The following is a 23,600-nucleotide window of genomic DNA, read 5'->3' as shown; positions in this document are numbered from 1 at the left end:
GGTGTGCACACAGGCATGCACGCACACACACATGCCCTTTGGTTCTGCACGTACATGTTCTGCAAGGTTCCAGTGGGGAATGGAAGCAGAGTTTGTAGGGATGGGGAAAGAGAAACTTGTATCTCAAATTTTACTTCCCTTATGTTTAAATTTTGTCATGCACACTTATTAGTATTATACCTTTTTAAAAAAAAAGAAGGAAAAGAAAAAAAAGTCAGTTTAAAAAATCTGATTAACTGTCCCTGCAAAAGGCATTCATCTGGTTTCCCAAGTGCTGTCAAGTCAAATTGGTGACAGAAATACTCGCCCCAGTCTATTTTCAATGGAGAGAAGGAACACAGTTTTTGAACATTGGTCTATTTATTTTGAAAACTGAAATGTGTACCAATCTATGACAAACCTTCCAGGGGGGAGAAGGTGTGTGTGAATTCTCTACCACTTCCATTCAAAAACCTCTTTATCTCTGATAATTTTCACAGCCTGGTCTTATCTTTCCAAGTTTGGTGGTGTGAGTTAAGATAAAGGGATCCTTAGACCCTATTGTTGTCAATGGAACTGGTGCACACCACCCCTGCTTGCAGTGACTCACACAGAGTTGCCCCACCTCAGGGTACAGAGACTCACGCCATCTTGGTTTTAGAAAGGAGGCACCTGCCCTTGTTACCAGGTACCTTCTCTGAGGGCCATGACTCCTTCCCAGAGCCACGCCCGCCATACTCTCCAGAAAAATACCAGGGGTTTACCAAAGACTGTGCAGAGTCAGAAGCCTTGGTTACCTCATGTCTGTGCAGAGTACCCAGGAGGCCCTCGGGGCCCCTCCTGCTTGCTCTGTACGAGGTCACTGTCCTTCCCAGGGGCTCCTATTGTCCCTAATCACATAATGTTGACCCCTAAAGTAGCTGAGGGACTTGCTCAGTTAAAAAGGCTGGGCTGGGCCAGGTGCGGTGGCTCATGCCTGTAATCCCAGCACTTTGGGAGAACGAGGTGGGCGGATCACGAGGTCAGGAGATCAAGACCACGGTGAAACCCCGTCTCTACTAAAAATACAGAAAATTAGCTGGGTGCGGTGGTGGGCATCTGTAGTCCCAGCTACTCGGGAGGCTGAGGCAGGAGAATGGCATGAACCCGGGAGGCAGAGCTTGCGGTGAGCCGAGATCGAGCCACTGCACTCCAGCCTGGGCGACAGAGCGAGACTCTGTCTCCAAAAAAATAAAAAAAAACAAACGGCTGGGCTGGGCTGACAGTCCCCTTCCAAAGTGGCCTCCTTCTTGCTTGTCTGGTGTCCCCCCAACCCTGGGCTCCCTCTCCCCACATGGAAGCCCACCCCCCAGGCCTCTCCATGAGCCTGGGCTCCACCCAGTAGGGGGGTCTCGGGTAGATGGACTTCCTGCGTGGCAGGAGCTTCTAGACAGCAGGAAGGGGCGGCCATAAGCCAGTTCCCGAGGACAGGTGGCTCTGGTGCAGGCTGCCCATCAGCCCAGCCGTGGGGCACACCGGACTCGGGGCCACGTTATGGGGTGAGGGCTGTGGCAGCTATCTCTGGGGAACACACTGGCCACAGTGAATCATGTGCCGGCACGTAGGGTGCACTCACCCTGCTCTAAGCCCCGGTGCCGCATCCCCCAGAATATCGCTCCCAGTTCATGATCTCCTCATCCACATGGGGTCCAGGTGAGGCTGAGGCTTCACAGGTGTGGATCCCCCTAGTCTACAATGGGACAGAGTAGCTGCAAATAGCACTCCCCACTCCCAAGAGGGGCACGGGTGCGAGTGGCCACCAGCCCATAGCAATTCTGAAATCCGTCTGGGCGCAGGCCGCCGGTGATCACCCCGGAGGCCCAGTCAGTGGCTTTGCTGTGCCAGAAAGACAGTGCAGGTCCAACGCCCACCTCGTGTTGACCCTGCTCACCCAAGGCCTTCTCTGAGCCCACATTCAAATCCAAGCAGGCGCCTGACGAGGGAGGTGAGAATTCGTCACTGCCTTCCCTTCATGTCTGCTGCAGTTCACACCTGGCTTCGCACTCACTGAATGGCGTGGGGCACCGGCCTGTCTCCGACAGAGATTCCCACTGGGATTGCTGCGTCACCTCCTCCCGGCTCATCCCCACCCTCCCAGCGCTGCTGGGCCTCCTGCCCCGTCCTCGCCGTCTGGGATTTGCCCCCTGCCAGGCGTGCGTTCCTGGGGCGGCATCCTGCCCTTCTCATCCTGCGGTCACAGCTGCAGGGCGGCTAAAGCACCTGGAATGGGGTGGAGACCGTGACTAGCTCCTCCTGCGCCCCGTGGGGAGTCTGGCAGGGATATGACTGCCATCCAGAAAGCCTTGGGCATGTGTGGCCCTGAGACTGGTCCTCACCAGCAGCACTTGGCAGGAGAGACGCAGTCCACTCCGCTTTCAGAGGCTTTTAGAGGCAGCTGTGTCTCCGTCAGGCTCAGGAGACAGCAGGGCTCAGCCACCAGCTAGCCAGGGACCCCATCTGGGACCCCATAACCACTGTTATGCTTGAGCCCTTTTGTACCTTGGGGCCTGTTTTTCACACACCCAGCCTGCCCTGGCAGCACAGAGGACCTCCGAGAAAGTGTGTAGAACGAATGAGCGAATGTGGAAGCTGGCGGCCGGCACTGGGCACGTGTCTGTTGCAGCTGAACCCCAGCCTCACATTCCAACTGCCCCCCCTCAATGGCCAGATGCCCAACAAGGAGGGTGCAGCTGGCACCAGAGGTCTTGGGCCTGTGCAGGAACCTGAAGACAGTTCTGGAACAGGGCTGCTGGCTTTGCATGCCGTCATACCCACTGTTCATGTACCTCGACTCTCCATTCAGTGCTGGCATCTCCAGGCAGAACCTCGCAGTGTGCAGGGCTTCCACTGTGCCTTCCCAGTCCCCGCCACCAGGAAGGTCTCCTTGGCTCACATGGAAATGAAGCAGTGGCCAGAGTTTGCACGAGTGGCCAAAGGTCAAGTGGCTGAAGTTGCTCACTGGGAAGGACGTCAGAGGCAAGTGCACCGGCATCCCGGGGCACCGACATCCCAGAGGCATCTGACATCCCAGGGGCATCCGACATCCCAGGTGCACCCGCATCTCAGGGGCACCCGCATCCCGGGGCACCCGCGTCCCAGGGCCACCCGCATCCCGGGGCACCCCCATCCCAGGGGCACCCGCCTCCCAGGGGCACCCCCATCCCAGGGGTAAGCACATCTCAGGGGCACCCGCATCCCAGGGGCACCCCCATCCCAGGGGCACCGACATCCCAGGGGCAAGCACATCTCAGGGGCACCCGCATCCCAGGGGCAACCGCATCCGAGGGCTGCCCGCATCCCAGGGACACCCCCATCCCAGGGGCAAGCACATCTCAGGGGCATCCGCATCCCAGGGGCACCTCCACCCCAGGGGCGCCTGCATCCCAGGGGCACCCCCATCCCAGGGGCACCTGCATCCCAGGTGCACCCCCATCCCAGGGCACCGGCATCCCAGGGCCACCCGCATCCCAGGGGCACCCCCATCCCAGGGGCACCCACATCCCAGGGCTGCCCGCATCCCAGGGGCACCCCCATCCCAGGGGCACCCCCATCCCAGGTGCACCTGCATCCCAGGGCTGCCCGCATCCCAGGGGCGCCCCCATCCCAGGGGTACCCGCATCCCAGGGCCGCCTGCATCCCAGGGGCACCCCCATCCCAGGGGCACCCGTGTCCCAGGGCCACCCGCATCCCAGGGGCGCCTCCATTCCAGGGGCACCCCCATCCCAGGGGCACCCCCGTCCCAGGGCCGCCCACGTCCCAGGGGCGCCCGCATCCCAGGGGTACCCCCATCCCAGGTGTACCCGCATCCCAGGGCTGCCCTCATCCCAGGGGCACCCCCATCCCAGGGCCACCGCATCCCAGGGGTACCCGCATCTCAGGGGCACCCCCATCCCAGGGGTACCTGCATCCCAGGGCCACCCGCATCCCAGGGGCACCCGCATCCCAGGGGTGCTGTGCACAAGAGGTGACCCTCTCCTCCCCCGGAAGCACTCCTCTCCAGGAACTGCAGGCCAGGGTGGAGGGAACCCTGTCTGGATTGGGAGCGGGGCAGGGGGAACCCTGTCTGGATTGGGAGCGGGGCGGGGGGAACCCTGTCTGGATTGGGAGCGGGGTGGGGGGAACCCTGTCAGGGCAGGGAGGGACCAGGGCTGGGAATGCACATCGTGGCAGCTGGAGTCCTGATTCGAGTGGAGTTTGGCAGAGACACCCTGAAGACGCAGCACTTGAGTGCAGAGCTCCAGGCTGAGTGGGAGGGATGTGGGTGCAGGGTGGTGATTGGACATCCAGCCAGTGCCAGGGAAAAGTCCCATCAAAGCGACAGACTCTTTGTACAAACTGGCTCAGGGCCAGCTCAGGTTGAAAGACAAACAAGAGGTGAGCCCCAGGCTGCCCAGGCAGGCGGGTCTGATGCAGAGCTCGCGGGTGTCTGGCATCCAGGCACTCGGGCCAGAACCTGCAGCAGGTTCAGAGAGAGACAGCTGCGACGCGTCCTCACACCTCCACCAGGAAATCGATTCTGGGGTTCGGAAAGGAGGAGTGGGCCTGCGACAGCTACCCACACAGGAGCCCCCGTGGCTAAGGACGGGCCAGAGTCACACGGCGAGGACACTCACCCACCTCTGCCTGCTGGCCTCGCTGCCTGCCTGGGGCGCGTGCAGGTCCCGAGTGGAGACCACACCAGCCCCAGTCCCCCAGGCCCCTCCCAGGCTCCCTGAAGGGCAGTGAAGGCTCAGGAACTTTCCAGGCCATGCCAAACCTTCTTCCCCACCTTGGGTGTGAGACCACGCACCTTCCCCAAAAGCTAGTGCAGACATCACGGTCACCACTCACATGACCCCAAGTGCAGACTTGGTCACTGTCACCACTCACCTGACCCTGGGGAGTCCAAGCACGTGCAAAGCTCACCTCCAGCCCCATGGCGGGGCCTGGCTGTGCCCTAGCTCCAGGCATCCAGGGTCACGTGGGCAGGATCTGAGGGTCAGATCAGCAACCCTCCACCCACCTGCCACGGGGCTGTGCAATGGCCAGCTGTCGAGGCCCTTTCCTAAGCCGGGATGCACCCCACGCAGCCCACCCGGGCCCCCTGAGCAGGTGGATTGTCCTGCCTCTCCTGCCTGTCACCCGGTGGTCCTCCTGCCCTGGTTCTCACCACCGGAGTCGCCAAGCTCCTCCAGGTCCTTCAGGGGCCCCCAGTAGCCACCTCCCTAGTCACCCCCAGCCTCCCCCAGGCCAACTCAGAGCCCACAACACTGTTGTAATTACTTTTAAATCATAAGAAAAGAAAAAAGAAATTTTAGATCAAATAAAATGTTTTCATATATAATATTAGCACATTTGGGCTTCTTATCAACACAGACGTAAAACAGGATTTTTGATGTTTTGTGGAGGGAGGGCCCACAGAGGCAGAGTGCTTGCCCCATGGCATCTTGTGTCCTGGCCGTTGGGCCACGTGGCTTCCCAGCTGGGCAGGACCCTCACCCTCTAACTCCTGGGGCTCACAGCCTTGGCAACTTTGAAACCTCATGGGTCCAATTGAGCGTCTGGATTCTTGTTGAACGGAGTTCAGGAAGGACTTTCTGATTCCGTGAAATCTTGCGGATCCGGCACAGCTGCCCTCTTCTTCCTGCCGAAAAGTGCCAATCACTCCCTGGTGTGGTGGAGCTGCCAGCCAGCTGGGTGGCTTGTGGCCCAGAGCCAGCAGCACTAAACAGAGCCCCCCACCCTGGGAGTGCCTGGGGGGCTAGTGAGGAGGCGTCCTCAGCAGGGGTGTCTGCACAGCTGAAGCCCCTCCAAGGAGTGCCCAGGCAGTGCCACGTGGTCCAGAGAGATGTAACCCCTGGGCCAGAAGCCATAAGAGGCAGGCAAGCACTGCTTCCTGCGAGGTGAGGGCTGCTCGCCCAGACCACTGCAGCCACTGGCAGGAAGGCACGGGCTGCCCTGTGTCAGGGGTGGGATGGTGCATGGGCCCGGGTCGCTCTGACGGGTCCTCCTCACCGTGAGAAGGGATGGCATCATGTGTTCAGAGGCGTGAATCAGTGTCAAGCATTGCTTGGTGCCGTGGCACGCTTTCCTGTACAGCCCGAGGCTGTCTGGGGAGAGGTGGGAACTGACCTTTCGTCTCTCTCTGCAGCATCCCTTGCCACGGGCAGCTCCCCAGATGCCACCTCTTATTCCCGGCCCCTGGCCCTGCCCCAGGGGGAACTCAAGGGTTGTCTCACCCTCAAAATCGACCTGTAGGTTGATGGCCCCGAAGACCCATGGAAACCAGGAGCATACCCCAGGCAGCTTCAGCCTCATTTTGGAGGTTCCAGCTGAGCTGAGCCAGCAGCTGAACAAGCTCACAGGCCCCGCAGTGTCCTTCCCAGGTGGTTCCGGGGGGCGCACCTTTCCCTGGCAGGGACCGGGGGCTGGGTGGGGCAGAAGGACAGCCAGTGTCTCTGAAGAAGGAGAGAAGACTTTTATTGTCAACGAGAGGAAGACGGAAACAAAGGACAAAAAAAGATGTTATTGGTGAAAGCTTGGGGGGTTCAGCCAACTTCTATTTCTAACAAATGAAGGACAAGAAAAGGCTTAATCAGCTAATGGAATACAGGCTGGGCCGCTAACGCGGTGTGAGGGGCCAGGGAGATGGCGTCCATGTTTGAAATATAAATCAGCTGTGAAGGCACCAGTTTGCCAGGGAGAAACCAAGCCATGACCCCAGAGCTGCTCACAGCACCGGCCCTGCAGGCAGGGGAATGAGCTGGGCCAGGGTGCCACGTGAGGGGGCAAGGGGGCAGGGCAGGGAGCTTCGTCCCAGGGTCCTCCTGCATCTGCAGCTCACGCAGCTGTAGACAAGGGCAGGATGAGCAGGGGCGCCGGGCAGGGGCCTCCAGGAGGCACTGGGAGAAGGCCCAGGGGGCCGGGGTGGAGGCTGCAAGTTCCTCCTGGGGATGGATGCTGCAAGGGCCAAGTCTGTTGGCGGCAGTTTCACTGATGTCTGTCCATCTAGCTGTGGTGCATTCGAAGCCCTCTCAGCAGCGAGAAGACCACTATCCCCACATCAGGAACAGAAACCCACCTGCAGGGAGGGAAGTGAAGAAACCCACCGAGGGAAGCGAAGAATCCTCCTGGGGCCCGTCCAGCAGCAGGTGGGGAACTGGTGGGAAAGGAGCTTCGTGGGGAAACAGCCCGGCCTGCTCTGGGTGGTGGGTGCCCCCGTGCATGAAGTTATCAGAACCCAGAAGTAGACACCTGGTTTGTGCATTTTAGTAGAAGCTAATTAACCTCAACTACCCACATGTACATAAAATTCTCGGAACCAAATTTCCATCCTGTTGTCTCTGGAGGCAAATCCAGGAGCCCCCCACCGTGGCCCCCGGGCACTGCTTACGCACCACGCCCCCACTGGAGGGCACAGGTGAGCTCCTGTGCCCAGCTAAGTGGACGTGGGAAGTACTCGTCCAGCAAAGGCGGTGGCTGCCCATCTGCAGTGCCCGTCTGCCCGTCTGCACGGGGCCAGCCAGGACACACAGGGCCAGCCGGGACACACGGGGCAGGGCCTCTCCCACCCGCTGGGGGGGTGCTGCTTTCTGGAGCGGGTCACGCTTTGGGGCCACCTTGTGAATGCGGGGGTTCTTTGTTCCCTAAGGAGACAGAAGGGACCCAGTGGTGCACACTGTATGCTGCTTCGTGGGGCTGGGTCATCCTCAGAAGTGCTTACGGTCAGGCAGGTGTTTTCCGCACAGAATGTCCACCAACCTACAGAAACCCAGAGGGCTTTTAAATTATTCTTATAATTTTTAATGAGGTAGGAGCTAAAACAGAAAAACCTGAACCACCAACAACCTGAAAGTCCCCATCACCAGAGGCAGGAGCTGGGCTGACTCCTCATCCTGCGGGCATCAAGTGATCCAGCCAGGCACTCCAGGGGAGACTGCGTGGTGGGGGGTGTGTGGAAGACACACTTGTCATGCTGGGGCAGGGCCTCCACCCGCTTCCTGCCAGCCCTGTGGCCCTGCGACTCTCCAAACAGTGCCCACTGCCTCTGCCTGGGGGTGGGGCCCTCGTCGGTGTTCTCTGCCCCAGGATGAGGGGCACTGCCCGATACTTGGCTGCTCACTGAAGTGGGGGTGGGGCCGGGCGCCTGCGCACCCCCAGGGAGCACAGAGTTCAGGGAGGTCCTCCCGGCCCACACAGCTGCAGCCAGCTGGCCACCCACAGCCCCGGGCCCAAGAACAGCGCCAAGTCCTCCTCAGGCCCTGGTCCCCATAAGAAGCGCTGGGCAGTTAGTGGATTTCCCCCACTCTCGGGAAAAAGGATGGAATCTAAAACTTGGGACTGTTCACCACTCTCTCAGGAGGGCACAGCAGGGAGTCTGCAGCTTCCCCCCAAGATCAGTTTAACATTGTGAAAAAGAAGCACGCAAGCCCTGAAACTTGGAGCCAAGAGAGAAAAACAGGCCCCAACCGATGGCCTCCTGTGGGGCCAGGGGTGACATCCCACAGCCCCAGGGCTCACCGAGGTCAGAACCACCTGATAGAGCCGACCCCTCCCACACATGGGCAGTCCGAGGCCCTGGACGTGAGCAGAGGGGCCGTGAGAGCCGGGCCGGGGTGGGGCAGGCTGCTCAGGGCAGGAAGTGAGGCCCAGGACACAGCCCTGGGAAGAATGGAGTCCGGAGGGGGAGGAGGGTGGCCGGAGCACCCACTGGAACGCCCACCGCCTCTTTGGCTTCGTTGTCCTGCCAGGGCGCAGGTGTGGGACGTCTCTCCCAGGTGGTCGGCGCGGCCGCCAGTCTGGCCTGTTAGCACGGGTGGCTCTGCAGGGGGAGATGCGGCCAGCGAGGAGAGCCCGGCAGAGGCTGAGAAACTGAAACGCAGGGTGTGCGGCCGCTGCTGGCCTTTACACTGTGGGAACAAGCAAAATGGAAAAACATTGAAAGGCAGAGAATAAACCACCATGAGGCCATTCGAAGGCCCCTCAGCCCAGCAGGTAGAAGGCGGTCCCACCTAAAACTTCTGGGCTGTGACAAACAGAATGGGCGAGGGCCGGAAGCCTCGGCATCCACCACAATGAAGCAAAAAGCCACGAAAAGAAGTGAGTGAGATAAAAAGCAAGGGCTACAGCTGAGTTCCAGAGAAATGCAGGTCACAAGGCCAGGAGGCGCTTCCTGGGAGCCAGTCACAGACCAGACCTGGAGGCCAAGGCAGAGATGTCGCACTGCACCGAGGGAGAGTGAAAGCAGCCAACATCCTTGGAGGAGACAGAGTCCCACTCAAGTAAGGGCTCTAGACATTTTTGAGGAATAAACAAAAACATTTGAATGGAAAGAAAAATAACTGAAAACATAAGTGGAAATGTTTTCCTCAGGCCTCGGAAGGATCTGTTGACGCAGATGGGGACGTGCCCTGTGTTGCTTTAAGGAGTCAAAGCAAAGAAACACAGACACATGCTGGGAATGCACTTGAATCACACGGATTTTGGAAACATCCTACGTGTGTCTAATGAAGAAGAAAAAAAAAACACGGAAAAAGTTTACCAAAAGAAACCAAAGCTGGCCTGTCCTCAATCCCCCACCCCCTGCCCTACCCCAGGTTGTCTCTTCGTGGGAAGAAAGAAAAGCAGGACCCAGGGAAGCGCGTGAAGCTTGCCCCTCTGTAAGCCTGTTTCCTCCTCTGCAAGATGGAGCTAATTACAGCTCCCGCCCATAATGCTATCGGGAAGACGAAGCAAGTTCCTGCCCGTGGAGACCTTGGCACTACCCCAGGTACGGTCAGGCACTGTATTATTATATTGTTATCATTGGCATGTATGAGCCCACAGAAAGACAACTTTAGCAACCTGAGAGCTTGATGTCCTCTCTAGTACTAAGAATGTTCCATTTAGTGCTGGCATCAGATGGGGACTTTTATGTTTCAAGAATGCCCAACTCAAACCAGCTTAAACATGAATTTGTTGATTAATATTGACTCATAACTAGAAAGTCCAGAGGAGAGCAGGCTTCAGGTACAATGTGATCAGGGTTCCAGTAACATTTATCTACAAATCTCTGCCATGCCGTGCTTCACCCATCTGTCTTATTCTCAGGGTTGTTTCCCTCCTGGTATCAAAGTAGCTGTAGTAGCTGGGCACAGTGGCTCACGCCTATAATCCCAGCACTTTGGGAGTCCAAGGTGGGCGGATCACTTGAGGTCAGGAGTTCCAGGCCACCTGGCCAACATGGTACAACCCCGTCTCTACTAAAAATGCAAAACTTAGCTGGGTGTGGTGGCATGTGCCTTTAATTCCAGCTACTGGGGAGGCTGAGACAGGAGAATTGCTTGAACTGGGGAGGCGGAGGTTGCAGTGAGCCGAGATCGCTCCACGGCACTCCAGCCTGGGCAACAGGGCGAGACTCTGTGTCAAAAATAAAAAAGTAACTGCAGTAGTTCCAGGCTTCACACCCACACCCCACACCAGCGACAGCGCAAGCTTCTGTCCTAGACTGCCCTAATGGCTGAAGGGCCATCCCCTGGAAGCTGGGATCAGTGAGGAGGCTGTGCTGACTGGCTCAGAGCATCAGGGCACCCCTCCAGCAGGGGAGTGTGCGCACCCAGCATAACGGGGAAGTCGCTGCACCCTAAGAATAGGCAGTTGGCCTGCAAACCCAGACTCCATGCAGCCCCCTCCCCAGGTAGGAACCAGGCATCGGGCTGGCCACAAGCTGTCACGACTTCAGGGCTGAGCCAGGGCCTTGCCTCCTCCAGCCCCCCATGCCAGCTTCTGTCCTTTCCACAGTGTTAAGTCATCCTCCAACACATCTCTCAGCCCAGGGTTCAAGTCTCCTCCCTCTTCGCCAGCTTCTGTCCTTTCCACAGTGTTAAGTCATCCTCCAACACATCTCTCAGCCCAGGGTTCAAGTCTCCTCCCTCCTCTCACAGCAGTCCCTGGGGCTGCTCTGTCTGCTGTACCTAATAGCTGGCCTTTGACTTTTGCACAGCTGGACGTTCATGCTGGAGGAAACTTTTACCTGTTCTCCCTGGAAGGAAAGCTGCAGGGACCCACACAAGACCTGCAGCCTTGCTGGTGTCCTCTGCAGTTGCTTCTTTCTTTCACACGATAGAAAATAAACGGTCTCTTTTTCGTGTACTTTGTAGAAACACCGAATCAGAGTCCGAAGAGCCCCACGATGGTAGATAGGAAGGGGACGCTTCGACCACAGGGCGCGGGAGGTTGGGGCCCAGAGAGAGTAAATCATGCTGTCAGGGTCACAGGTAGCAGTTTGTAGAACCGAATCTGACCCAAAACAAAGTCTGTTAACAGACCTTTGAGCGAAGAGCGATTTCATGAGTCACAATGCACCTGCACACTCCGTTTTTTTCTAACTGGAGTGAGGAGGGGAGCGTGTGCTTTTAAAGAGAGCGTCCGTCTGGAAACGCTGCACATTCGCTTTGACAGGAACACGGCAGGCAAAACAATCTGATTAGTGACCCTCCGGGAGCCGCGATCCGATTAGGCCTCCCAGGTGCCTGTGCTGGCTGCCCGTGGACGGAGGTGGCTGGAGACAGCAGAGCGGGCGGAATCAGGTCTGGTTTATGTTGAAGACTAAGATGCGTCTCTGGGGACGCTTGCCAGTTTCTGCTTGGCCTTGGCAGCTTTGTTAACCTGGCAACTGGAGCAAGAGAGAGGCCTATTTGAAAAATTAAAGATGTGACGAAGGGATAAAAAGGTCTCTGGAAATTTCCATCTGAGTGCTGGAGACCAAATGTGTTCCCCCCATCAGGACAGCAACTTGGGCTGCCATCTTCCTGCCAAGAAGTTCAGCGGGGCATGTTTCCACTCAGCCTGCTGAGGAGAAGTCAGCTATTAGCAGTGTTATTTTTTAAACATGAGACGCTTTCTAAGAGAATTTAGAAGACATATTTGTCTTAAAAATTATGACTTATTCAATGCAAGCTGTTTGTTGTGTAACAAGATTGGGTGAAATGAAATCCGCTCCGATGACAGGGCTTCTGTTGGAATGTGCCACTGTGGACGGTCTGTGTTTATAGACTGGAGAATTAATCATTTTAAACTCCAGAAAAAACCCACACACTTCCGGGGTGAATGCTAAAGACAGTGCTGTGGTCCCTCTGTAACACCAACAATCCACAGACTTTACTCTAAAACCCATATTTCCAACTCTGGGGTTCCTACTTGCTTCCCGCACCCTGGCTTCGCTTTATTGAGAGCACAGATTAACTGCACACATTTAAAGTACACAATATGATACGTAGGCACTTCTGAAACTGTCACTAAAATCTAGGTCATGAACATATTTACCCCAAAATCTCTTCCTCCGCCTCAGATTCTCTTACACTGCTCCCTTGTCCCCAGGCAGCTGTCGGTCTGTTTCCAGAGCTACTGATGGATCTCCACCTTCTAGAGTTGTATAGAAATGGACTCAGGGGGCCAGGCACAGTGGCTCACACCTGTCATCCCATCACTTTGGGAGGCCGAGGCGGGCGGATCACCTGAGGTAGGGAGTTCGAGACCAGCCTGGCCAACATGGTGAAACCCTGTCTCTACTAAAATTGCAAAAATTACCCAAGCATGGTGGTGCACACCTGTAGTCCCAGGTACTGGGGAGGCTGAGGCAGGAGAATCACTTGAATCAGAGAGGTGGAGGTTGTAGTGAGCCGAGATTGTGCCACCACACTGCGGCCTGGATGACAGAGCAAGACTCTGTTGTTAGACTGGCCTCAGTCATGAGCACAATTGCTTTGACATTTATTCACAGCATTGCACGGGCCGGTCACTCCTTCACCAAGTCATGCGGATTGGTCATTTACTTCTTTTTTTTTTTTTTTGGAGATGGAGTCTCGCTCTGTTGCCCTGGCTGGAGTGCAGTGGGTGCTATCTCGGCTCACTGCAACCTCCACCTTCCAGGTTCAGGTTGAAGCAATTCTCCTGTCTCAGCCTCCTGAGTAGCTGGGATTACAAGCGCCCGCCACCACACCCGGCTAAGTTTTTGTATTTTTAGTAGAGACGGGGTTTCACCATGTTAGCCACGATGGTCTTGATCTCCTGACCTCGTGATCCGCCCGTCTTGGCCTCCCAAAGTGCTGGGATGACAGGCGTGAGCCACTGCGCCCCAGCCATCTTACCGGGTTTTAATTTCCGTTTCCCTCATGAATAATGACACTCTTTCATGTGCTTATTTGCCATAACTAAACTGTTTATTATTTTTTCTAGTGTAGTTTTTCCTTTTATTTATTTTTAAATCCTTTTTTTTTTCTTTTGAGATGGAGTCTCTGTCACCCAGGCTGGAGTGCAGTGGCGCGATCCCAGCTCACAGCAACCTCTGCCTCCCTGGTTCAAGCAATTCTCCTGCCTCAGCCTCCCAAGTAGCTGGGATTACAAGTACCCGCCACCATGCCTGGCTAATTTTTGTATTTTTAGTAGAGATGGGGCTTCTCCATATTGGCCAGGCTGGTCTTGAACTCCTGACCTCAAGTGATCCACCCACCTCAGCCTCCCAAAGTGCTAGGATTACAGGTGTGAGCCACCTTAAAGTACTCTTCGTAACAGATTCAGATTTACAGAAAAATTGTGAAGATGGTACAGAGAGTTCCCACATACCTGGTACCCACAGTTTCCCTCATAAACATCTTCCATTACTAGGATACATTTGTTACAATTCATGAACCAATACTGATACATTGTCGCTCTCCAAAGTCCCCACTTTATTCAGATATTATTAGTTTTTCTCTAAGGCGCCTTTTCTGCCCCAGGATCCTGTTCAGAATCCCATGCTACGTTTAGTTATCTCGTCCCCATAGGCTTCTCTTAGCTGTGACAGCTTCTCAAGCTTTTCTTACTTTCGATGGCCTTGTCAGTTTTGAGGAGGACTGGGCAGGTATTCTGCAGAGTGTCTCTCAGTTGGGATCTGCTGGCGTCTGAGGTTTTCTCATGATTAAACTGGGAATATGGGGTTTTGAAAGAAGACCATTGAGGTAACCCACCATCTTCAGACAATCATGTCAAGGATCCGTATGACCAGCATGATTGTCACCATTGATGAGGACTTTCATCACCTGGCTAAGACAGCTTGTCCGCTTCCTTGCTGAGAGTGTTCTTTCCCCTTCCGGAACAGTCCGTCTTGGAGGGAAGTTGCTGTGCCCAGCCTGCACGCAAGAACTGGGGAGTTACGCCCCCTCTGAGGCAGAGTGTCTACATAAATTATTTGTCATTCCTCCATGCAGATTTGTCTCTTCTCCTTCATTTATTTGTGGATATGTTATTGCATCCTTTATTTAGATTGGCGTGGACTTGTGGGTATTTACACTTGGGTCACAGTGCAATAACACTTCTTGATTTTGTTGCTCACACTGTTCCAGCATTGCCCGTTAGGAGCTCTTCCAGTCAACTCCTGTAGCCCTTTGACATAGCCCATCAATCTGAGGTTTGTTTTGGCATTTTATTACTACATTTTAGTACAAGATGTTCTAGTCTCATCTTGTATATTACTGGCCCCAGCTCTGGAATCCACCAGTTCTCCAAGGAACCCTGGTTCCTTTCATTGAAGAAGCATATTGGAAACCGAGATCTGAGCATGAGATGTGCTTATAGCTATTGAGGTGTTGTTGCTGCCAAACCCTCTCAGCTCACAGAGGAGAAAATATATGTGCATATATTAACCATGTATATATGCATATCTAAAATACTTCTCTAGGTAGCCGTAGAAATCTATACAGGGCTAAACATCAGTTCATACCAATGTCTCCAACTCAAATCTAGCACCATGTGGGTCATCCCAGCTGCCTCCTCTTGCTTCTGTAACCTCCTAATAGTGAGAAACCTGGCTCCTACCATCTGCTATCCATGTATTTAATTGTTCAATTTTCAGTATACATGTGCTGTGGTTTGAATGTGTTCCCCAAAAGTTCGTGTGTTGAAACTTGATCCCCAGTGAAGCAGCGTTGAGAGGCAGGACCTTTGAGAGGTGATTGGATTAATCAGTTCATGGATGAATGGGTTATGCCGGGAGTGAGTGAGTTACTTCTCAGAAGAATGGGTCTGTTGTAAAAGCGAGTCTGGCCATCTCTTGTAAGACCCTCACCATCTGATGCCCTGTGCCACCTGGGACTCTCCAGAGGGTCCCCACTAGCAAGAAGGCCCTCACCAGATGCAGCCGCCTGACCTTGGACCTCCCAGCTTCCAGAATGGTAAGAAATAGATTTCTTTATAAAGTACCTAGTCTTAGGCATTCAGTTATAGCAACAGAAAACAGACTAAGACAATATTATGGTAGTGTCAGAACTGTTAATTCACACCTCACTGGGAGACAACTTTGTCAGCTAGAGTCCAGTGCTTACGTACTGTTCCTTTGCCTTTAGTCTTAAAGACTCCACTCATTCTGAACTAGGTCAGTGCTGTTCCCCCACTCCCTTCAGTGAGGATGTTCCATGCGTTTGTAATACAGTTAGATGGTTTTGTCACATTCTGGATTCCATCCTGAGGTCCTTGAGCTTCCTAAATGGTTTTTAAATTTGCATACAATGGGGTGTATTCTTTGTACTGTAAAGTTTCACAGGTTTTTGATAAGTTTATAATATCACATATCCACCAATACACTATCATACAGAATAACTGCCCTAAATAATCTCCCGTGCTTTAGCTATTCAGTCCTCCAGCCCTTCCCACAAACTCTTTACCACTGATCTTTTTACTAGCACAATGGTTTTGCCTTCTCCAGAATGTCACATCATTGGGGTTATATAGTGTGTAGTGTTTTCTGCCTGACTTCTTTCACTGAGTCTTATGCTTTTAAGATTTATCAGGAATGTGTTTCTGTATCTATTGACCACATGATTTTTCCTTATGTTTATTGTGGTGAATTCCATTGATTGACTTTCCATTGCTAAACCAACCTTACATTCTTGGCATAAACACCAGTAGGTCACAGTGGAGTTTCTTTTTTATATGTTGTTGGGCATAATTTGAGAATTTTTGTGTCTACATTTAACTAAGGACAGAGCAGAGTGAAATATTTAAAATGTTGAAAGAACTCCACCAACTTCGAGTTCTATATCCAGTAAAATTATTCTTCAGCGTAAGGGAAAAATAAAAATGTTCTCAGACAAATAAAAATGGAGAGAATTAATCACCAGCAGACATGCTCTACCAGAAATATTAGAAGAAGTTCCTTAGGAAGAAGGAAATTATATAGGTCAGAAACTTGAATCTATATAAAGAAACTAAGTGTTTGAGGATGAATAAATATAAAATCCTCCCCCCCTTATTCTTAGTTGATCTAAAATACAACTATTTATTAAAAGTAATAATTATAATGATATTGGGTGATTATAGCATATAGGTAAGTAAAACAAATGACAGCAATGTGGTAAGGGATGGGAGAGGACTGGGAATATTCTGTTACAAGATACTTGTATGTGGAGCAACATAGCGTTATTTGAAAGTGGATTTAGATTAGTTGTAAGTGTATATTGCAAACTCTAGGAAAACACCTTAAAAATTTTTTAATAAAAATTGATATGCAAAGAAAAGAAATACATGGAATGTGTACAGAATCATGTAAGATGCTCAGTTAAAACCAGAGAAGGCAGAAAAAGAATCTCAAATTGTGTTTTCATCTTCAACCAGTTTAAAATACTTTCTAATTTCCTTGTTCGTCGTTTCTTTGACTGGTGGGTTATTCAGATATCTGTTTTCAGTTTGTAAATATTTAGAGATTATTCAGAAATCTTTGTATTATTAATACCTGATATATTTCCGATTGGCCAGAGAACATACCATGATGCAGTGAAACCTTCAAATTTATTGGGAATTTTTTTTTTTTTTTTTTTTTGAGACGGAGTCTCGCTCTGTCACCCAGGCTGGAGTGCAGTGGTGCGATCTTGGCTCACTGCAAGCTCCACCTCCCGGGTTCATGCCATTCTCCTGCCTCAGCCTCCCCAGTAGCTGGGACTACAGGTGCCCACCACACGCCCGGCTAATTTTTTTTGTATTTTTTTAGGAGAGACGGGGTTTCACCATGTTAGCCAGGATGGTCTTGATCTCCTGACCTCGTGATCCACCCAACTCAGCCTCCCAAAGTGCTGAGATTACAGGCATGAGCCACCGCACCCGGCCGGGAATTGTTTTATGACCCAGAATACGGCCTATTTTGGTAAATTGTTTGTGTACAGATGAAAAGAATGTGTATTCTCCTGTTGCTGGGTGACATATTTGATAAATATTAATTTGGCTGATAGTATCCTTCAAGTCTTGTCTGCCTTTACTAAGTTGTCTATCAATTTGTTCTATCAGTTATTGAAATGAGGTGTTGAACTCTCTGACTGTAATTGTTGGTTTGTGTACTTCTCCTTACATTCTAGCTGTTTCTGCTTCATGTATTTTGAAGCTTTATTAGGTGCGTACATGGTTAGGGTTGTTAAGATCTCTTGATGAACTAATCCCTTTATTATTATAAAAAATCCTCTTTATTTCTTACAATGTTACTTATCTGATATCTACTTTGATATTGTAATAGCCACTCTGGCCATCTTTTGAATAGTGCGATGGTATATATTTTTCCATCTTTTGATTTTAAGCCAATTTTATATATTTATATTTAAAGTGTTTTTCCCTGTCAGCAACATAAAGTTGAGTCTGGCTTTCTTATCTAATCATATAATCTCTGCCCCAGTTGAATTGTTTGGGCAATTAGAACATGACTGTGATTATTAATATGATTGGGTTTAAATCTATTATCTTACTTTTCTTCTTATATTTGTTCCATCTGTTATTTTTTCTTTTTTCTGCCTTCTTTTGCATTGTGTTTTTAATTCCATTTATCTTCTTTGTTGGCTTATTAGCTATAATTCTTGTTTTTTCTTTTATTTGTAGCTTTAAGATAAATAGTATGTATCTTTAACTTACGCAGTAATGTGATATTAAAATAGCATCTTTCCATCCCCTCTCACACCTTTTTTGCTGTTGTCAAACATTTTTAAAACTCACACGTTTTTAAACCTCACACTTTTTTTTTTTTTGAGACAGGGTCTTTCTTACTCTGTCATCCAGGCTGGATTGTGGAGTGCAATGGCACGATCATGGCTCACTGCCACCCTGACCTCTCGGGCACAGGAGGTCCTCCCACCTCAACCTCCCGAGTAGCAGGAACTATGGCATGTGCCACCATGCCCGGCTAATTGTTTGTATTTTTTGTAGAGATGGGGTTTTGCTACATTGCTCAGGCTGGTCTTAAACTCCTGAGCTCAAGCAATCCGCCCGTCTCGGCCTCCCAAAGTGCTGGGATTACAGGTGTGAGCCACCGTACCTGGCCAACCTCACACATTTTTAAACCTCACAATACATCATTAGGTTTTTTCTTTTCGTTTTAAGCAGTTGGTTATCTTTTAAGGATATTTTAAAAGTAAGTTTTTAATATTCGTCCACATATTTTCCATTTCCAATACTTTTTATTCCTTTGTCCAGCTTCAGATTGTCCTTCTGTCCGACGACTGCCTTTAACATGTCATATGACATTTGTCTACTGTTGATGAAATCTTTCAGTCTTTGGATTCCTAAAAAAGTCTATTTCACCTCCATTTTTAAAAGATGCTTTTCTCGGGTATAGAATTCTAACACTTTTTAAAAATCTGTTGGTACTTTCGGCCGGGCGCAGTGGCTCATGCCTGTAATCCCAGCACGTTGGGAGGCTGAGGCGGGTGGATCACAAAGTCAAGAGATTGAGACCATCTTAGCCAACATGGTGAAACCCCATCTCTACTAAAAATACAAAAGTTAGCCAGGCGTGGTGGAGCATGCCTGTAGACTCAGCTACTCAGGAGGCTGAGGCAAGAGAATTGCTTGAACCTGGGAGGCGGAGGTTGCAGTGACCCGAGATCGCACCACTGCACTCCAGCCTGGCAACAGAGTAAGACTCCGTCTCAAAAAAAAAAAAAAAAAAGAAAAAAGAAAAAAAGAAAAAGAATCTGTTGGCACTTTAAAGAGGTTGCTCCATGGTCTTCTCACTTGCATTGTTTCCAATCAGAAATCCATCCTTATCCTTATCTTCATTCCTCTGTATGTGAAGTTTTCCCTCCCTCTAGTTGGTTTTAAGAAATTTCTCTTTAACACAAGTTTTGAGCAGTTAGATTATAATGTGACTTGGTGTTGTTTTCTTAATATTTCTTGTGCTTGGGGTTTACTGAGATTCTTGGATTTGTGGGTTTACCTTGTTCAAATCCTTGTTTTACAACTTAAAGTGCCTTAATATTACACACGCATTAGGGCACTTTAAGTTGTCCTGTAGCTCACTGATGCTCTGTCCATTTTTTAAGTATTTTTTTCTGTGTGTTTTATTTTGTACAGTCTCTATTGCTGTTGCTGTGTCTTCAGGTTCACGCATCTGTTCTTCTTCAATGTCTAATCTGCGGGGATCCCATCCAGTGTACTTTTCACCTCAGACGTTGTAGTTTTCATCTCTAGAAGTTTGATTTGTGTTTTTTTTTTTAAATCTTCAATGTGTCTCCTCCTAATACTCACTCTTTTCTTTACCATTTTGAACATAAAAATATAGTTACAATAATTGTTTTAATGTCCTTTTCTGCTAAATCTACCTTCTTTGTCATTTCTAGATCTGTTTCTATGGATTAATTTATATCCTCATTTTGGGTTACGTTTTCTTTTTCTTTTTTGCATGCCCACTAATTTTTGATTGCATGCCAGATATTCTGAGTTTACTTTGTTAAATAATTGACATTTTTGTCTTCCTACAAATATTCTTGAGCTTTGTTCTGGAATGCAATTAAGTTACATGGAAACAGTTTGTTTCTCCCGAGGCTTGCTTTGAACGTTTCAGGCAAGGTCAGAACAGTTTTTAGCCTAGAACGAGTTTATCTCCCCTACTGTGGCAAAGCCTTCTGAGTGCTCCACTCCACGTCCCATGGGCCATGAGATCTCTGCTCTGACTGGCGGAACAGGCAACATTCCTGCCTGTGCATGAGCTCTAAGGGTCACTTCTGCTTCTCTTTCTGATGGTCTTTCCCTGGCCTTGAGTATTTGCCTCTCACACCTGCACAGATCCGTACACACGTAGATACCGGAGGAGGATCTTCCACGGACTGTTGGAATCTGCTGTAAATTCAGCTCCTTCCCCTCTGATCCATTCACACCTAGACACTGGAGGAGGATCTTCCATGGACTGTTGGAATCTACCGTAAATTCAGCTCCTTCCCCTCTGATCCATTCACACCTAGATACCGGAGGAGGATCTTCTGCGGATTGTTGGAATCTACCGTAAGTACAGCTCCTTTCTGTCTGGGACTCCGTCCTGTGGTTTATGGCCATCTTTGCCTAGCAGGCTCCCAGCTGTGTTTCCTCAGCTGTAGGAAACCGTGGTTCTGCCTGGATTCCTTTTCCCTGTGCTGCATCCTGGAAACTCTCTCCTGGTCATGAGCTCCGGCAGCTCTAGGTCTCAACCCGTTTGTTTCACGTCTCTCAGGGAGCACTGCACCACGCTGCCGGAGACCAGGCTCTGAAAACATTTTGCTTCACATATTTGCCTGTTTTTTTCAGTTGTTTCATGGGGGAGAGTGAGTCTAGGTTCTGTTCCTCCCAGGCTGTTAGTGGAAGTTTTCAGAACTGGCCTTTTGAAAAACTTCCCAGAGACAGTCACAAATGTTCCGTAGTCACTGGGGCTTCCCTTTACGATGCCGATGTGGTGAATGCGTGTGGTGTCGTGTCAGTGTGATGCACCTGTGTGGTGAGTGTTGTCTGTGTATCATTTTCCACAAACATAGATTTTGGTTCATGCCTGAGCTCTCTGACTGATAACTGTCTTAAGATTAAAAGGAAACCCTTTGGAGTTAGTGTGCATTTCTGGATTTGTCTTTTTTTTTTTTTTTTTTTGAGACAGAGTCTTGATCTGTTGCCAGACTGGAGTGCAATGGCGCGATCTCAGCTCACTACAAACTCCGCCTCCTGGGTTCAAGTGATTCTCCTGCCTCAGCCTCCTGAATAGCTGGGATTACAGGCGCCCGCCACCATGCCCAGCTAATTTTTGTATTTTTAGTAGAGACAGGGTTTCACCATGTTGGCCAGGATTGTCTTGATCTCCTAACCTTGTGGTCTGCCCGCCTTGGCCTCTCAAAGTGTTGGGATTACAGGCGTGAGCCACTGCACCCAGCCTGGAAGTCTTATCTTTCTTTGCTGTGCAGGTTCCCACCTTCACTTTTTATTTAATTTTTTAATTATTTATTATTTATTTATTTATTTTTTGAGATGGAGTCTCGCTGTGTCCCCAAGGCTGGAGTGCAGTGTCATGATCTTGGCTCACTACAACCTCCGCCTCCTGGGTTCAAGCAATTCTCTTGTCTCAAACTCCCAAATAGCTGGGACTACAGGTGCATGCCACCACACTTGGGTAATTTTTGTATTTTTAGTAGAGACAGGGTTTCACCATGTTGACCAGGCTGGTCTCGAACTCCTAACCTCAGGTGATCTGCCCACCTCAGCCTCCCAATGTGCTGGGATTACAGGCATGAGCCACCGCGCCCGGCCTCACCCTCACTTCCAATGCAGAGTCCAGCACTTGCAGCTGGAACCCACCAGGCCAGGAGTGGGAACACCGGGAGACGCTCCGGGCCCCAGACCTACCATATTTAATCCTGGCTGCACAAACGCAACATGTTCTAACTTGAAAGAGGTTCATTTATTACAAGTGAATGGCATGGCAAGTTACTGCAATAGAATACTCAAATATTTATTTTATACTTGGTCAATTATTTCTAGCACATCTTTTAGGGTCATTGCTCGTTCCTGTTTTACTTTGGTTGTGCTTGTCTGAAGGCATTTGCCCCCAGCTGGGTGTTGTTCAGACCTCTTGCCTCTCTTGTCTTCTCAACAAGACTCGGTGACATTTGCTCTCTCCAAGTGCACGGCAGCAGAAAATACTGTGGTTCGCAAGGCAGGGAAAGTGGATTAGGCTTGGTCGTTTATTCTCGTTCTTTCCTTCTTCCTTTGCACATGGGTGGCTGGGAAGCAGCTTCGTTTCTAAGGGCAGGGAATGACCACAGCAGTTGTAAGAGCAGCAGCTGAGGCTGAGCCAGGCCATGAGCATTCCCTCCGCCAGCCGTGAGAGCGCCTCTTTATCATGGAGAAAGCAGCATCAGAGAGGCCAGCTCAGAGGACAGCGCCGATTCTCCGGGGCTCGGGCCTCCCTCAGCTCCAAGCCTGGGTGCTGCTCTTCTTGTTTGTCTGTTTGGCCTCAGCCCAGCATTGGGTTCGTCCTCCTCATTGGCACTTGGCCACTGTTGTCACCACTCCGCAAGGCACCTCACCTTTGTCATTCCTCTTCTTGGTCCTTCAAATCCTCATTCCCAACTCCAACCTCCGCTCCCCTGCCCCGCCGTGTGCGGCCGTCCTTGCTGGTGTTGTCTCTTCCCTCCTGTTCTGGAGGAGTGTGTGTCTCTTTGTTTGGACTCTGATTTCGCTTCCTACCATGGTGCCAGTGCCACATCCCATTCCCACATGGCGTCTCCAAGACCCCTCCCTGCTGCGTGGTGGATTAGCTCCTGTGGGCGCCACCGTGGGCACCCTAGCGGGGGTGCCAGTGCCACATCCCATTCCCACATAGCGTCTCCAAGACCCCTCCCTGCTGCATGGTGGATTAGCTCCTGTGGGGGCCATAGTGGGCACCCAGTGCGCTTTGCCTGACCCTCCCAAGGTGATGGACATGGAGTGTCCCGCTCCTGCTGGCCTCATTGAGCCGTGGGCACGTCCCTGTGTGGGCCCTGTGTGGCTGTGGGAGGAGTCCTTGGGGGGTGGATCCTGGAGAGGACTTTGCCGGGCCCTGGCGTCCCCACCTCTCAGGGCCAGGCCGCTCCCCAGGAAGGCTGCACGGTTTATGCTCCATGAGTGACCCCAGGGCTCCCCTATGCCCACGTTCTAGCCACACCTGGCACGAGCCAGTTTCCTACATTTTGGGAGCTGGGGGGTGTGACGTGCTGCCTTCTGCAGAGTAAGCTGCATTTCCGACGTTTTGGCCCCTGCTGGTGGTCTGTTCACATGCGGATCCTGTCTCTGGGGCTGTGGCCGATTGCCTGAGGTTCAGCTGTGCCCACTGCCCATGTGGAGGGCTGTCTGCCCCCATCATCATCAGAAATGGATGTCACAGTAAAAATAAATCTGCTTGTCACACTGGGGGCCATTTTGACAGCAAACTCCATGTCTAGCAATTTCTCTTAAAAATACCCTGTGTGAGGGAATGATGCGCATTTGAATGACTAGTTCTTCACTGCTGTTAATAAGGAACACGGAAGCTCTGCGTGTGCTGATGTGGAACCACCTCCGAGCCAGTAAGTGAGAAAACTCGCGCACAGGTGTGGCCCCACGTCCAGAGGTCCATCCGCACGCCCCGGGCTCCAGGTTTGGCCGGATGCTCCCTGGACAGAGCTGCAAATCAGAATCCACAGGTACCTGCAGGGGCCTCAATAAAATAAAGACTGAAAAACAACTGGAAAAAAATATAAATCTTAGCAAATCTTTGCAAGTTGGAGCTGGAAGACCTGGCCTTCCCGTGGTCTCCGGAGGATGCTGCCTACCGCTGGTCCCCATGGGGGACTCGCCCACAC

The 23,600-nt window shown here is 51.3% G+C and overlaps 1 protein-coding gene across 5 annotated transcripts in view, besides 3 other annotated features; it reads left to right on the top strand.

Moving 5' to 3' along the window:
• Window positions 977-1,913: an enhancer, noted in NCBI's record as "H3K4me1 hESC enhancer chr21:47001008-47001944 (GRCh37/hg19 assembly coordinates)". NCBI's record gives its function as "activates a minimal SCP1, AML or CMV promoter by ChIP-STARR-seq in naive H9 embryonic stem cells {active_cell/tissue: H9 hESC(naive)}" and the evidence as "EXISTENCE:reporter gene assay evidence [ECO:0000049][PMID:30033119]".
• Window positions 3,567-4,068: an enhancer, noted in NCBI's record as "H3K4me1 hESC enhancer chr21:46998853-46999354 (GRCh37/hg19 assembly coordinates)". NCBI's record gives its function as "activates a minimal SCP1, AML or CMV promoter by ChIP-STARR-seq in primed H9 embryonic stem cells {active_cell/tissue: H9 hESC(primed)}" and the evidence as "EXISTENCE:reporter gene assay evidence [ECO:0000049][PMID:30033119]".
• SLC19A1 (solute carrier family 19 member 1) overlaps window positions 19,982-23,600 on the top strand; it is a 60,509-nt gene continuing 56,890 nt past the window's right edge. For all 5 annotated transcript variants that reach the window (NM_001352511.3, XM_047440961.1, XM_011529700.3 and 2 more), the window contains exon 1: window positions 19,982-20,265. The gene's annotated coding sequence lies outside the window, so the exon portion shown is untranslated. The remainder of the gene's footprint in view (window positions 20,266-23,600) is intronic.
• Window positions 21,953-22,662: an enhancer, noted in NCBI's record as "H3K4me1 hESC enhancer chr21:46980259-46980968 (GRCh37/hg19 assembly coordinates)". NCBI's record gives its function as "activates a minimal SCP1, AML or CMV promoter by ChIP-STARR-seq in naive H9 embryonic stem cells {active_cell/tissue: H9 hESC(naive)}" and the evidence as "EXISTENCE:reporter gene assay evidence [ECO:0000049][PMID:30033119]".

Source organism: Homo sapiens, chromosome 21 (assembly GCF_000001405.40).
Source record: "Homo sapiens chromosome 21, GRCh38.p14 Primary Assembly".
Classification (NCBI taxonomy): Eukaryota; Metazoa; Chordata; class Mammalia; order Primates; family Hominidae; genus Homo; species Homo sapiens.
This window is presented reverse-complemented; position numbering and strand designations above follow the sequence as displayed.